At 37.1% G+C, this 15,778-nt stretch overlaps 1 pseudogene; it reads right to left on the reverse strand.

Moving 5' to 3' along the window:
* Nucleotides 1,502-2,825, reverse strand: GLUD1P9 (glutamate dehydrogenase 1 pseudogene 9; annotated as a pseudogene).

The following is a 15,778-nucleotide window of genomic DNA, read 5'->3' on the forward strand; positions in this document are numbered from 1 at the left end:
TCCTTTGTCACAATGACTTGGAGGAGCAGGGCCCAAACAATGATAAATATATTATTCCACAGCTCAACCTTATAAGCATGATTGCTGGAACTCTAGCCTTATCCAAGTTCCTTACCTCCTACTGAAGTGAGGAGGGGCTAATACCTGAAGTGCCCCACAGATTTTAGTTGTTCTCCACATCCCATGAGGTCTTTGCCCCCAGGCACTTGGGTGGCATCTGCTGGCTTCCCACACACCTGTGTCAAGCACCACTACTACCACTACCCTCTGCTAATCCTGTACCAGTGTCACTGTCCAGCTGCTCCTGTGCTTGCCATTCTACTTACCTATATCTGCAATATACACAGCAGTCCCTGATGCTGACAGATCTCTGGGATGATTCAACCACTTTGCAGTTTTACAGCTGACTACTTTTTATTTGTTTTCCATACCTGATGGCAGAAACCCTTCCCATGGAATCAAATCATTTCACTACATCTTTGGACCCATTTTGATGTTGATGTTCTTTTTCAGTTTTTGGCACCTCACTGAACCAGGGAGCAAGTTTGGTCTTGGTTTTTTCCCCTCTCCCTTACTGGGGCTTGTCAGGTCAACTTTTGCATATTACAGGCCCGCTGCCTACCATAGAGGTTAATCTGAAGCCTTTGCTATAGCTATTGCTTTATACACATTTATACATGTTCTCTCAAGCAGCCAACCTTGGAGTAAAAAGGAAATTGGCAATGTGGCCCTCTTATACGTGTACTTTAGTATTTTACCTAGAGAACCCTTGTCCTATTTCCTAGACATATATATTTCTGCAAAGTAAGAAGCAAGGCTATATTACCATTGAGGGTAAACAGATAAAAGGTACACAGGATCTCTCTTCATTCTTACAATTACATGTGATATACAATTATCTTAACAATATTTGCAATAAGAAAAGCAATGGACTGCATGGCATCTTTGTTTATGACATTTCAGAGGTCATGGTAATGATATAGGCTGGGTATCATGGCCCAGCCCACTTCTATCTCCAACTACCTATACTTTGGTATCAAGAAGTTCCTCACAAAATTAATTCCACCTGTCACCAGTCCCACCCACCTTAGATAGTAGGACATCCCAGTTTCTCCTCAGCCACTTGTGATTTCTCCCTGGGGATGCAGGGAATGCAAATATCATTGTTTATGAGTTCCTCCCTGTGGACATGAATTGACTGGCTTCTCAGCCTACAGTATTGCAGGAGAATAAAATTCATAATGAGAAACATCTTTTAATTTTATAATATGTAAAGCCAAATTGCTTTGCTTTACAAAATGGGAGGGCTATGCCATGTTCTAATGTTGTAAATTAAGACTCTACATTGTATACTGAAACCCTGCAGTAAGAATAAATAAATAGCCCCACTAGGCTTTCCACATTTTCATTCTAAACTCTCTTGAACAGACATTAGCAAATGGAGTTAAAATTCCTTTTATATTTAAATATATGTAGCTGACATAATTCAGATATTTTAAAATTATTTAAATAAGATAGTTACTCCTCTAGAATTCAAGTAGAAAATGGGGATTATCAAACTATTCACCATAATGAAGATCTTAATCCCTGCTGCTATTGGTCCATTACCACCTTCAGCAGTGATTTTTGTTTTGATTTTGCAAGCATTGTGCTTGGTAAGCTGTTTTTCACTTTACTCAGAAGTGCATATATTATAATCTGCTTTCAGGATATTTCTATCATAAGGTTTGACTGTAGAAAAGACAATAATGTTCCCAGTTGGTAATTTAGAGTCTTCTAACTCCTCTGGATAAACATTATCTGGATTCCATGTGATCTCATCAATCTTACCAACACCAACACATCTAGCATCAAAATGATATAAATAATTCATTGTATGAAGGATCATATTACCAAATCCTGAATGATAAAGGTTTTATCCCCTACACTGAGAGAAAATACTAAAACGTTCATGCAAGAAGCAGCATTTATGAACATTTCAAATCCATGCAGGCTAACTCTCCAATGGCAGAGTTGCATGGATGCCACTTGGACTGATCTGTTAACCAATGATGTAGGCATGTGGATTAATATCAGAATAGCCTATACTATCAGGATAAGTATCTGTAATCTAGAATATTCCTTTCATCAGTGCTCATATGAGGAGCAAATGTATCAATTCCAGGATCAATGAAACCCATTTTCCTTAGCTCCATGGTGAGCTTAACTCATTGACTGTATAATTTTGAGCACTGTGAACACCAAACTTAGCCCCTCCTTTAAATGGTATATAAACTAAAGCACTTTGTATGTTATTAAAGAAACGAAAGCCTTAATATCATTTTCACTAACATCTGTACCATAAGGGGTGCAGTGTTAGTTGTGCTGGGCCAATGTGCCCTCTATGACCATCTAGGAGTCACTGTTCCTCTGATGGGAAAACTAAGGCCCAGCACATAGTTGTAGGCTTAATGATTTGTAAAATGTCGTGTCCCCAATTGAGTTCACCTCACCTTCTCAGATCTTCAGATTTTCCACCAGCTTTTCTCCAACCATCATGGCATCACAGTTGAAGAAGCTACCCACCCCACCCTGTAATAAATGATTTCCAATCATATTGTCCTTCATCATTGTAATGATGCCTTGTAACAGATGAGGTGGTTCCCACTGCTGCAGAAGCAAGGTCAAGTACAAATTTGGCTCCCCAGCCTCTAAGTGAGAATTAAAGGAATTCTGGAGGGGTACTTACTTTGCTGGCAAACATATGGATGGTGGCCTGGTGACTTTTCTTTAATTTCCTGTTGACTAGAGTATACACTGTGGCCCACTGTGATAGGGTGACTCATTTTTCTTCCTGCCCATAAACAGGGCAACCATTTTGGACTTCCCAGGGAGGCCCTCAATTATTCAGTGGAACTCAGCACCTCTCCATGCAGCTCCTGTCATCATACTCTAACAATGTAATAGTGTTTATTCCATTCGAGGTTGTTGCAAAATGCCTTGGAGGCCAACCTGTATGTTTCCAGTAGTTTCCACATTGGTTTAGCTACATATTTTAGCCGCTTCCTAAATCTCTACACCTCTTCTTCCTCCCTCATAGAGGAAGTCTCTGGTAAATGGAGTTTCCCACCAAAAATAAAATTAAGTGAGTAAAATTATCATCCCCTGTAGGGTGGTAGCCCAGTACCAAAAATGCTCAATCCTGTTCCTCTACCACCTGTTTTGCTTTTGCTTCAATTTGACTCAATCACATGCTGTCAAGTCAATGGAATCACTGAAATTATAGATCCCTTTAGGCTAATATGGGCTAAGAGTTTAGATTTCAGAGTTAGAACTGCATTTTATGTCTCTCTAATCATGAGTTTCCCCCATTTTAACAAGAGTGTAAAAATACATCAGAGGTTGTGAAGAATAAAAAGTTAACATATCATAATGCTTATCCTGCTATACAGTAGATACTCCATAAATGGTAGCCATTATTATTATTCACCTTTTAAAAAGTCTTGGTCGATTGGAACACTTTCAATAGTAACCACTGCCCGGAGTGAATTTTGGCCAGCAATTCAAATGCAGACAAGTGGCTCTTCCACAGTAGTATACCCATTGTTAGAGACCTTCTGGTCCTAAGCAGGACAAGCTTAGGTGGGCCCTGGTTGGTGCAATGTGTGGACATCATTAGTATGCACCCCAGTTTTCTCCATCTATATCCAACGGCAAGAAATCTTTGCTCACTAACACCAGTCTCTTGCTTGTGGGGATAGCATCCAGCTGTGCTTTCTGTATTGGCTAGGGCTTGTCCTATTTAAAGCAAGCCCATGCCTCACATTTGTGTGTCAAGCCCTCATCCATCTTAGGCAGAAATAGCCCGTTCTTTATTAGTTCTCAAGTATTTTTCCCTCTTATATTGCCCAAACCATTGTGTAATGCTTTTAAAACCATAAGACAATACTCTTGGGAGGAAAATCCAGCTATTTCCATTTATTTTTGCAAAAGACATTATGGCATCCATATAAAACCTGATTGACCCATAATTGAATTGTATAATTAGATAAGGCAATTTTATTGTATTTATATTTCAATGAAGCTGAAACGTAAAAGCAATATGAGTGTTGTGTGTGCGATTGTATATGTACAATTTGACCATTCTTGCCACTTTTACTGCAACCAATCTGATTCAAGCCATATTCACCTATGCTTTGATTTTTGCAATTGCTTCTACACTTGCACACCTAACTGTAATCTCAGCACAGCATTCAAAATAAATCAGAACTCTCCAATGGTTCCATACCCCTCTCAGAGTAAAGACAAAGTCCTTGTAATGACATCATACATGGCCCTCCACTGTGTGTACCACGCTCTTACCTTCTCACCTCATTCCCTTCTATTCTTCCCCTCATTCATTCTGCTCAAGGTAGAATGCTTCTTTGCTATTCCACAAACATTTCAGGCATGTGTTTACCTCAGAGCCTCTATAGGGGCTGTTCCTTCTGATCAAACACCCTTCTCTCAGATATCCACATCTTCACCTTTCACCTCAAGTCTATATTCAAGTTTTTCTTTTTCAACGAGTGCTACCCTGATCACCCCGTGTAAACTGAACTTCTCTGACTGGAACTCCTGATCTGCATTCCCTGGTCCTTTTTCTCATAACATCTCTAAACTTCTTTCATACTTTATTGTTAATTTATTTGTTATGTGTATTGTTTGACTCCTTCCCGTTCAATGTTACCTCTACCAGAGCAGGCATTTTTTTCCTTTTTAATTCCATGAAGGCATCCCCAGGTACACAGTAGTCATTCAATAAACCTTAGTTGACTGAGTGAATGTTGACTGTTCCTTTCTTCTTGAAACTCTGTTTTCTTTTGGTTCTGTGACCAATCTCTTCTGATCATTTCCCTACCTTTCTGGTTGTCACTACTCTAGTTCCTTTTTATATTCCTGTTTCTAGCCATCCCTTACATGTGGATGTCCCCCAGGACTCTTTCCTGCTCTATTTTGTTCACACCCATGTCTCTAGCCCCCATCTGCATCATAACTTCCAAATTAATATCTCAAGCCCATATATATTTCCTCTGAGTTCTAGATGCTTATTATAAATCCACCTATCTACTCAAAATCTCCACTAATGTGTTTCAAAGGCACTTGATACTCAAGTTGTCCCAAACTGAATGTGTTCTTTTATATTTGTCATATCAGAGCCTCTCCTCATATTCTCTCTTTTCTCACCACTCAAATCAGAAATCTAAGCATCATCCTTGAATTTCCCCTCATCTTATTTACCCGTACCATTTCCTCAGTTACCAAGTTCTTTTGATTATTCCCATTAAACATCTCTTAAACTATCCCTTGCTCTTTACCCCCATTACTCCTGGGGAATATTGCAGTAATCCAGGAAAATAAATAATGAAGACCTAAAAGAATTGGTCACTTAGCTTCTACTTTTCCCTTCTAATTTACAATTCTGCTAGAGTGTGTGTTCTAAAAAGCAAATCTGACTAGGTCATGCTCTTTCTCACATCCTTTCTGTAAACTCTCTGGCCTTATCAGGGTGTGCCTCTGGCTCTTCAGTGCATCCCCTCATGTGGATCCTCTGCTCAAGCTCAAGAGCTTGTCTAATGCTTTATGAATATAAAACATGACCCCTGCTTACAGATCCATAGAGAGATATAGAAACCACCTATGAAAATCACATCAAAAAATCAAAATCGATGATCTGTAAGCCAGTAGGGAGTGAAAAAAGTTAGTGAAGAATATTGGCTGTAGTTTGTGACTGCAAAATCTTCCTGTGTGATAATCCTATATAAAAGCACATAAACCCAATGATGAAGCTGAGAAATCACAAACAGATGAGGAGAAGGAGGAGGAGGTATTTTTGCACTGCCCATCATGCAGAATAATCCCACAATGCTCCCCATCCCGTGGAGCTTGAATTTGAACTTTCAGTTGTTGTAGGTCAATCTCCATCCTGGAAGGTAAGCTAACTCTTCCTCAACTTGCTCAGGAAGGCACAGTCCTTGGTAAATAATCTGAATTGGTTTGATATATTTAGCATTCTTGGAAATGACCATATAATGGTCTAGAGCTAGACACACAAAGATCTATTATTTTACAGTAAAATGAGTTATAGTCATTGAGATTGTCACTGAGAGCTACATCTCAAATGGTTTAGTAGGAGAGAAGATCTGCACTGAAATAAAAAGTATGAGTTTTTTGGTCTGGATAGATGTCTTGACATGGAACAAAAGGAAATGCCCTTCCCTGAGTAGAGCTCCTCTGGAGAGATGAACTGTGCCAGGGCGCAAGTCAGCTTGGATAAGCACTCTGGTACAGACTATGGACTTTCCTTGTAACCCTCAACATCTGGAAGGAGCATCTGGGAACAACTCAACAGCTACTAGGGTTCAAAGAAAGATAAGACCCCTCTGCCAGATCTGGGCAGAGGTTTGAACAGATGTTTTTATATTGACAGTGGTCTCAGAGTATGGGAATAGTATCTGGAGTAAAACCAACCTTGATTCAAATCCTACCTCTGCCACCTAAAAGCCCTGTGAGTTCAATCTAAGTTGTTAACATTCATAGGCTTTAGCTTCCTCATCTGCAAACTGGAATTGTTATACCTATGTAAAAGGTTGTTGCAAAGATTGAGTGGGACTATGTAATGGAGAAATGCAAGTTACAAGGCTTGGCAGATAATATTCTCTTGATAAATGAGTTTTCATCTTCCCTTACCCAGACTTTGACTGTATGAAGAGTGAGCCTGCAAAACCAAGAATGCTCAAGATCAAAACTGCCCCTTTTCGAACTGACCCAGTTCTCACAGCAAGGTCTTTATTTCTGTCTTTAAAATACCATCTAGAAACAACATAAGATGGAGATGTGACACTTGTTAAGAAGGAGGCCTTAAAAAGGGACTAGTACATTATTTTGTAAATGAACAATTTTTGTTTTACTCTTATCTAAAAAGTGATACACACCCTATGTTCCTTTTAATGTTGATAAGTTAAATGCCCTGTAATATTGTTAAGATGGCAATATTCCCCAAATTAATATACAGATTCAATTCAATGCCTATCAAAATCCTAGCTGGCTTCTTTGCAGAAATTGAAAAAATTTGACAAGCTGACCCAAAATAACAAAAATTATTCAAAGATAAGGAAACAGTTGGAGGTCTCACACTTTCTAATTTCAAAATTTACTACAGAGCCATAGCAATCAAAACAGCATGGTACTATCATAGGATAGACATAGATAATAGAATATAATTGAAAATCCAGAAATAAATCCACACATTTGTGGTCCATTGGTTTTCAACAAGAGTGCCAACACTATTCAATGGGTAAAGAATGGTCTTTTCAAACAAGTGAAATAAACCATTTGCACATGGATATCCACATGCAAAAAAAAAAAAAAAAAACAAATTTGGATTCTTGCAGTACATCATATACAAAAATTAACTCAAAATGGATTAAAGTCCTTAACATAAAAGCTAAAACAACAAATCTCTTAGAACACATAGGCATAAATCTTTGTGACATCGGATTAAGCAATGATTTAAACAGTGGATTAAGCAATGATGTAAGCTGTCACACCAAAACCACAAGCAGCAAAAGAACAAACAGATAAATTGGGCATCATCAAAATTAAAAATGTTTGTGCATGAAAGGACAAATCAAGAAATAGAAGGAACAACCCAGAAAATGGCAGATAATATTTGCCAAGCATATCTGTTAAATGGCTTAGATCCAGAATATATATATAAAGTCTACAACTCAATAAAAAAGACAACCCATTTTTAACATGGGCAAAGGATCTGAATACATATTTTTCTGAGTAAGATGTACAAATTTCTAATAAGGGCATAAATAGATGCTCAACATCATTAGCCATCAGAGAAACACAAAGCAAAAACACAATGTTATATATTCATCCTGCATACCCATAACTTTATACCTGTTGACCAACATTTCACCATTTCCCCGACCTCCCCACCCCTGGTAGCCGCCATTCTACTGTTTCTATGTGTTTGACTTGTTTAGATTCCACATATAAGTGAGATCATGCAGTATTTTCCTTTCTGTTTCCAGTGTATTTCACTTAACATAATAAATAAGTCTAGACATTTAATGTACAATATGATGACTAGCGTTAATAATACTGTATTATATATTGGAAATTTTCTAAAAGTACATTTCATGTTCTGTCACCAAAAAAAGTGACTATGAGAGGAGATGGATATGTTAATTTGCTTGACTGTAGTAATCATTTCACCACGTATATGTATATCAAAACATTATGTTATATAATGTGATATATAAGATAAATATAATTTTATCTTAAAAATAAAAACACTATGAGATATCACTTCACACCCACTAAGATGGAAGAATAAAAGCAACAGATAATAACCAGTATTGGCAAGAATGTGGAGAAATTCAAAGCCTCATATACTGCAGGTGGGAATGCAAAATTGTGCAGCTGTTTTGAATAATGATCGTCTAGTTACTCAAACAGCTAAACACAGAGTTACCATGTGATCTAGCAATTCCTCTCCTAGAAATACACCCAAGAGAATTGAAAACACATGTTCAAACAAAAACCTATACATGAATGTTCACAGCAACATTATTCATAATAGTCAAAAAGTAGAAATAACCCATTTCCATTAACTGGAGAATTGATAAATAAAATCTGGTATATCCATACAATGGACTATTATCTAGCAAAAACAAATGAAATACTGCTTTGTGCTGCAATATGGAAGAACCTTGAAAACACTCTGCTAAATGAAAGACGACAGACACAAAAGTCTATATATTGTATGATTCCACTTACAGGAATGTCTGGAATAGGCCAATCTATAGAGAAGAAAGTAAATTAGTATTTTCTTAGCGAGGAAGAAAAGAGGTTGGGAGTAAGTAGAGCGTGACAAAGGAAAAAATATTTCTTTTTGGAGGTGATGAAATTCTTACAAAATTGACTTTGGTGTTGGTGGCACAACTGTTAATATACTAAAAAGCATTGACTTTTACACTTTAAATTGGAGAATTATATGGTATGTGGATTATATTTCAATAAAACCATAATAATAAAAGATGACACATGTTCCTTATAAAAACGTGAAGAAATTCAGATATGCAAAAGGAAGAAAAGGAAATTCCTTTTACTTTTTCTTTTTCTTTTCTATTTAAACTTTTAACTTGGATTCAAGGGATAAATATGCTGGTTTGTTGCATGGATATGTGCATGATGCTGAGGTTTGGGGTACAGATGATCCTGTCACCCAGGTACTGAGTATAGTAGCCAATGGGTGTTGTTTTTTTTTTTTTTTTTTTGAGGCAGAGTCTCGCTCTGTCGCCCAGGCTGGAGTGCAGTAGCGCCATCTCGGCTCACTGCAAGCTCCACCTCCCGGGTTCACGCCATTCTCCTGCCTCAGCCTCCAGAATAGCTGGGACTACAGGCACCCGCCACCACGCCCGGCTAATTTTTTTTTGTATTTTTAGTAGAGACGGAGTTTCACTGCCCAATGGGTGTTTTTTTAGCCCAAGACCCCCTCCCTCCCTCTCCCCTCTAATAGTCCCCAGTGTGTATTGTTCCCTTCTTTATGTCCATGTGTACTCAAATGTTTAGCTCCCACTTATAAGTGAAAACATGCAATATTTGGTTTTCTGTTCCTTTGCTAATCCACTTAGGATAATGGCCTCCAGCTGCATCCATGTTGCTGCAAAAAAGACATGATGTTGCTCTTTTTTATGGCTTTGTAGTACTCCATAGTGCATATATACCATATTTTACTTATCCAATCTGCCGTTGATGGGCACCTATGTTGATTCCATGTTTCTGCTATTGTGAATAGTACCTCAATAAACATGTAAGAGAATGTGTATTTTTGGTAGAAAGATTTATTTTCCTTTGGGTATATATCCAGTAATAGGATTCCTGGGTTGAATGGTGTTCTACTTTTAGTTATTTGAGAAAGGACCAAATTGCATTCCTCTGGCTTCATTCTTTTTGCTTAGGACTGCTTTGGCTACTAGTGGCTAAACTAACTTACATTCCCACCAACAGAGTATAAGCATTCTATTTTCTTCACTGCCTTGCCAGCATCTGTTGTTTTTTCGACTTTTTAGTAATAGCCATTCTGACTGGTGTGAGATGATATCTCTTTGTGGTATTGATTTGCATTTCTCTGATCATCAGTGATGATGAGCATTTTTTCATGTTTGTTGGCCGCTTGTATAGTATTGGAAGTCCTAGCCAAAGCAATCAGGCAAGAGAAAAAAATAAAAGGCATCCAAATAGGAAAAGAAGAATAACTATCTCTCCTCACTGACAATATGGTTCTATACCTAGAAAACCCTAAAGACTGCTGAAAGTTTCCTAGAGCTGGTAAACAACTTTAGTACAATTTCAGTATACAAAATGTACAAAAATCAGCAGCACTACTATACACCAATAATGTTCTAGCTAAGGACCAAATCTAGACACAATCCCATTTACAATAGCCACATACACAAAAAATGAGATGCCTAGGAATATATCACCCCACGGAGGTGAAAGATCTCTACAAGGAGAACTGCAAAACACTGCTGAAAGAAATCACAGATGACATAAATAAATGAAAAAAAGTCCACGCTCATGAATTGGAAGAATCAATATTATTAAAATGGCCATAGTGCTCAAAGCAATTTACAGAATCAATGCTATTCCTATCAAAATACCAATGACATTTTTCACGGAATCTAAAAATCTACTCTAAAATTCATATGGAACAAAGAAGAGCTCCAATAGCCAAAGCAACCCTAAGTAAAAAGAATGAAGCTAGAGGCATAACATTACCTGACTTCAAACTATACTACAGGGCTACAATAACCAAAAGAGCATGGTACCACTACAAAAACAAACACAAAGACCAATGGAATGGAATAGAGAACCCAGAAATAAAGCCACACAACTACAACCATCTGATCTTTGACCAAGTCAACAAAAATGAACAATGAAGAAAGTACTCCCTATTCAGTGGTGCTGGGGTAACTGGCTAGCCATATGCAGAAGAATGAAACCAGATCCCTACCTTTCACCATATAAAAAAATTAACTCAAGCTGGGCTGAAGATTTAAATGAAAGACCTCTAACTATAAAAATCCTGGAAGAAAACCTAAGGAATATCTTTCTCAACATCAGCTTTAGCAAATTATTTATAGGTGAGACCAAAAGCAATTGTAAGAAAAACAAAAATTGACAAGTGATACTTACTTAAATGAAAGAGCTTCTGCACAGCAAAAGAAATTATCAACAGAGTAAACAAACAGTCTACAGAATGGGAGACAATATTCCCAAACTATGAATCTGACAAAGGTGTAATATCTAGAATCTACAAAGAACTTAAACAAATCAACAAGCAAAAAAACAACCCAATTAAAAAATGAGCAAAGGACAAGAACAGCCACCTTTTTTATTTTTACTTTTATTTTTTTAGAGACAGGGTCTCACTCTATTGCCCAGGCACAATCATTACTCATTGCAGGCCCAAACTTCTTGGTTCAAGTGATCCTCCCACCTCAGCCTTCTGAGTATCTAGGACTACAGGCACATGCCACCATGCCCTATAAATTTTAACATTTTTTGTAGAGACACGTTCTGCCTATGTTGCCCAGGCTGGTCCTGGCCTCAAGCAATCCTCCCACCTCAGCCTCCCAAAGTGCTGGGATTATAGGTGTGAGCCATTGTGTCTGGCTCCATTCACATTTTTAAAAAAACTTCCTTTCTATGTTTCCCAATTGTTTTTAGGTCAAAAAATCCTTATCCTGAAAGGAAAGATCTCTCATGATTCATCCCATTACTTCTCCAATATCATATTTCAATCACTCCCGAGTTGGCATGATTTGTTCCAACTACAAAAAACTTTTCCTGCTAATATTCCATGCTCTCTTGCAAGTCCATACATTTGCACACAATATTCTCAGGGTTTGTAGCTGTTGATCCCTCCTTTCTTCATTGTGTTAATTGTACTGATGCATCATGATTCAGCTTAGGTATCACCTCCCCCAGAAAATTTTTCCAGAACCCTGGCACGAGCTGTGTCTCCTTGGTGTCTAATAGTTCCCTGTGTTTTTTTCTATGAGATAATTCACTGTATGTACATTTTTTTAAATAAAAATCAGAATTAAAAATTATGCCAACTAAAAATTGAAAAAAATTTGCATGGTGCCTCAAAGATCTCTGGGACAATATCAAAAGGTCTAACATTTATACCATTAAAGTTCCAGAAGGAGCAGAAAAAGAAATTGGTGCAGAAAGTAATTTTTGCATAAATAATTGCAGAAAACATCACAAAGTTTGATCAAAGTTATGAATTTACAGATTCAATAAATCAGTGAACTTCAAACTGCGTAAACTTAAGGAAAATCATTTCTAGACAGATAATAAAACAATACCAAAGAAAGAAAAACCTTTGAAGTACCTACAGAAAAATGACACATAATATATATGGTTAACAGTAATTTGGAATACTGTGAATTTCTTGTCAGAAACTATGGAGGACAGAAAACAGAAGAATAATGCCTTTAAATTAGAAGAAGATAACTGCCAAACCAGAATTCTATAACCAGTGAAAATATCCTTCAGGAATGCAGGCAAATACGGACATTGTTAGATGATAAAAAACTAAGAGAACTCATTGACAGCTCTAAAAGAAATAATAAAAGAAGTTCTTCAGGCTGAACATAAATGACACCAGAGAGAATCCTGGAATGTCAGGAATGAAGACAGAGAAACAGAAATCGTAAATAGCTGAGTAAATATTTTAAAAAACTATTTTTCTCCTCTTAAGTTCTTTAAAATACGTACTGCTATTGAAAGCACAAATTATAACATTTCCTGGTGGAGTTTTAAAAATGTATTTAGATATATGTATTTTTATGTGTATTTAGATATAAATATATGTAAACTTTAAAAGATCAGTGAAGGATCGTGAAGTGGTTATAAGGCTTCACTTAAAAAAATTTATTTACAGTACAACTCAGTTGAATTTTGAAAAACACACACAGTTATTTAACCAACACAACAATCAAGATACCAAGTAGTTCCAAGATAGTGAACATAATCATCACCCCCAAAAATTTCCTTGGGCCCCTTTATATTCCTTTCTTCTCTTCCCTTCCCACCTCCCCAGGCAATAAATGTGCTTTCTGTCACTATAGAGTACTTTGCATTTTCTAGATTTTATATGAATGAAATCAAGCAGTACGTACCCTTTTTTGTCTGAGGTCTTTCTCCCAGCATAATTATTTTGAGGTTCAATTTTGTTGTGTGTATCAAAGACATGCTCATATATATTAGTGCATTGATTTTTTTTTGGCAAGACCAAGTCTACCTACAGATGCTATACATACATGAAGTATAAGTTAGAGGTAAAGATTCTGAGAGAAAGTATTTGGTATGTTACCTGCACAGTTCTTGGTACAGTGCTGTGGATACACACTGTACCAAGGTTAGATGTCACTACCTTCTGGAAGACAGCATATTTCTATGGAAAATGCCCAAGTTCCGGAGTTAAATAAAAACAATCATACCAAAGCCATCTGTTGTTAATGGATGAACATCCATGAGCAAGTTATTTTGCCTCCCTCTTTTCCTTAACTTTCTTATCCTTCAAAAACAGGGATAATAACGGCACTCCATTTGGTTGTTATGGGCATTAAAATGAGATCACATATGTAAAGCATTGAATGTGGAGTTTGATACACAGCAGATAATTTAAAATGCTAGTTCCTTTTCTTTTCTACCCTTTTTAAATTTTTTAAAATTTTGTTTTAAGTTCTGGGATACATGTGCAGAACATGCATAGGTATACATGTGCCATGGTGGTTTGCTGCACCTATCAACCCATCATCTAGGTTTTAAGCCCTGCATGCATTAGGTATTTGTCCTAATGCTCTCCCTCCCCTTGACCCCCACTCCTCAACAGGCCCTGATGTGTGATATTCCCCTCCCTTTGTCCATGCATTCTCATTGTTCAACCCCCACTTATAAGTGAGAACATATGGTGTTTGGTTTTCTGTTCCTATGATAGTTTGCTGAGAATGATGGTTTCCGGCTTCATCCATATCTCTACAAAGGACGTGAACATATTCTTTTTTATGGCTGCATAGTATTCTATGGTGTGTATGTGCCACATTTTCTTTATAGAGTCTATCATTGGTGGGCATTTGAGTTTGTTCCACGTCTTTGCTATTGTAAATAGTGCTGCAATAAAGATGCATGTGCATGTGTCTTTATAGTAAAATGATTTATAATCCTTTGGGTATATATCCAGTAATGGAATTGTTGGGTCTAATGGAATTTCTGGTTCTAGATTCTTGAGGAATCACCACACTGTCTTCCACAATGGCTGAACAAATTGACACTCCCACCAACAGTGTAAAAGCATTCCTATTTCTCCACATCCTCACCAGCATCTGTTGTTTCCTGACTTTTTAATGATTGCCATTCTAACTAGTGTGAGATGGTATCTCATTGTGGTTTTGATTTGCATTTCTCTTATGACTAGTGATGATGAGCTTTTTTTCATATGTTTGTTGGCTGCATAAATGTCTTCTTTTGAGAAGTGTCTGTTCATATCCTTCGCCTACTTTTTGATGCGATTGTTTTTTATTGTAAATTTGTTTAAGTTCCTTCTAGATTCTGTATATTACACCTTTGTCAGATAGATAGATTGCAAAAAATTTCTCCAATTCTGTAGGTTGCCTGTTCATGCTGATGATAGTTTCTTTTGCTGTGAAGACGCTGTTTAGTTTAATTAGATCCCGTTTGTCAATTTTGGCTTTTGTTGCCATTGCTTTTGGTGTTTTAGTCATGAAATCTTTGCCCATGCCTATGCCCTGAATGGTATTGCCTAGGTTTTCTTCTAGGGTTTTCATGGTTTTAGGTTTTATATTTAAGTCTTTAATCCATCTTGAGTTAATTTTTGTATGAGGTGTAAGGAAGGGATCCAGTTTCAGCTTTCTGCATATGGTTAGCCAGTTTTCCCAGCACCATTTATTAAATAGGGAACCCATTCCCCATTGCTTCTTTTTGTCAGGTTTGTCAAAGATCAGATGGTTGTAGATGTGTGGTGTTATTTCTGAGGCCTCTGTTCTGTTCCATTTGTCTATATATCTGTTTTGGTACCAGTACCATGATGTTTTTGTTGCTGTAGCATTGTAGTATAGTTTGAAGTCAGGTAGCATGATGCCTCCAGGTTTGTTCTTTTTGCTTAGGATTGTCTTGGCTATGTGGGCTCTTTTTTGGTTCCATATGAAATTTGAAGTGTTTTTTTTCTAATTATGTGAAGAAAGTTCATGGTAGCTTGATGGGAATAGCATTCAGTCTATAAATTACTTCAGGCGGTATGGCCATTTTCACAATATTGATTCTTCCTATCCATGAGCATGGCTTTATTTTGCATTTGTTTGTGTCCTCTCTTATTTCCTTGAGCAGTGGTTTGTAGTTCTCCTTAAAGAGGTCCTTCACGTCTCTTGTAAGTTATATTCCTGGGTATTTTATTCTCTTTGTAGCAATTGTGAATGGGAGTTCACTTATTATTTGGCTCTTTGCTTGTCTGTTATTGGTGTATAGGAGTGCTTTGTGATTTTTGCACACTGATTTTGTATCCTGAGACTTTGCTGAAGTTGCTTATCAGCTTAAGGAGATTTTAAGCTGAGACTATGGGGTTTTCTAAATATACAATCATGTCATCTGCAAACAGAGACAATTTGACATCCTCTCTTCCTGTTTGAATACCCTTTATTTCTTTCTCTTG

The sequence above is a fragment of the Homo sapiens genome, chromosome X, assembly GCF_000001405.40.
Source record: "Homo sapiens chromosome X, GRCh38.p14 Primary Assembly".
Classification (NCBI taxonomy): domain Eukaryota; kingdom Metazoa; phylum Chordata; class Mammalia; order Primates; family Hominidae; genus Homo; species Homo sapiens.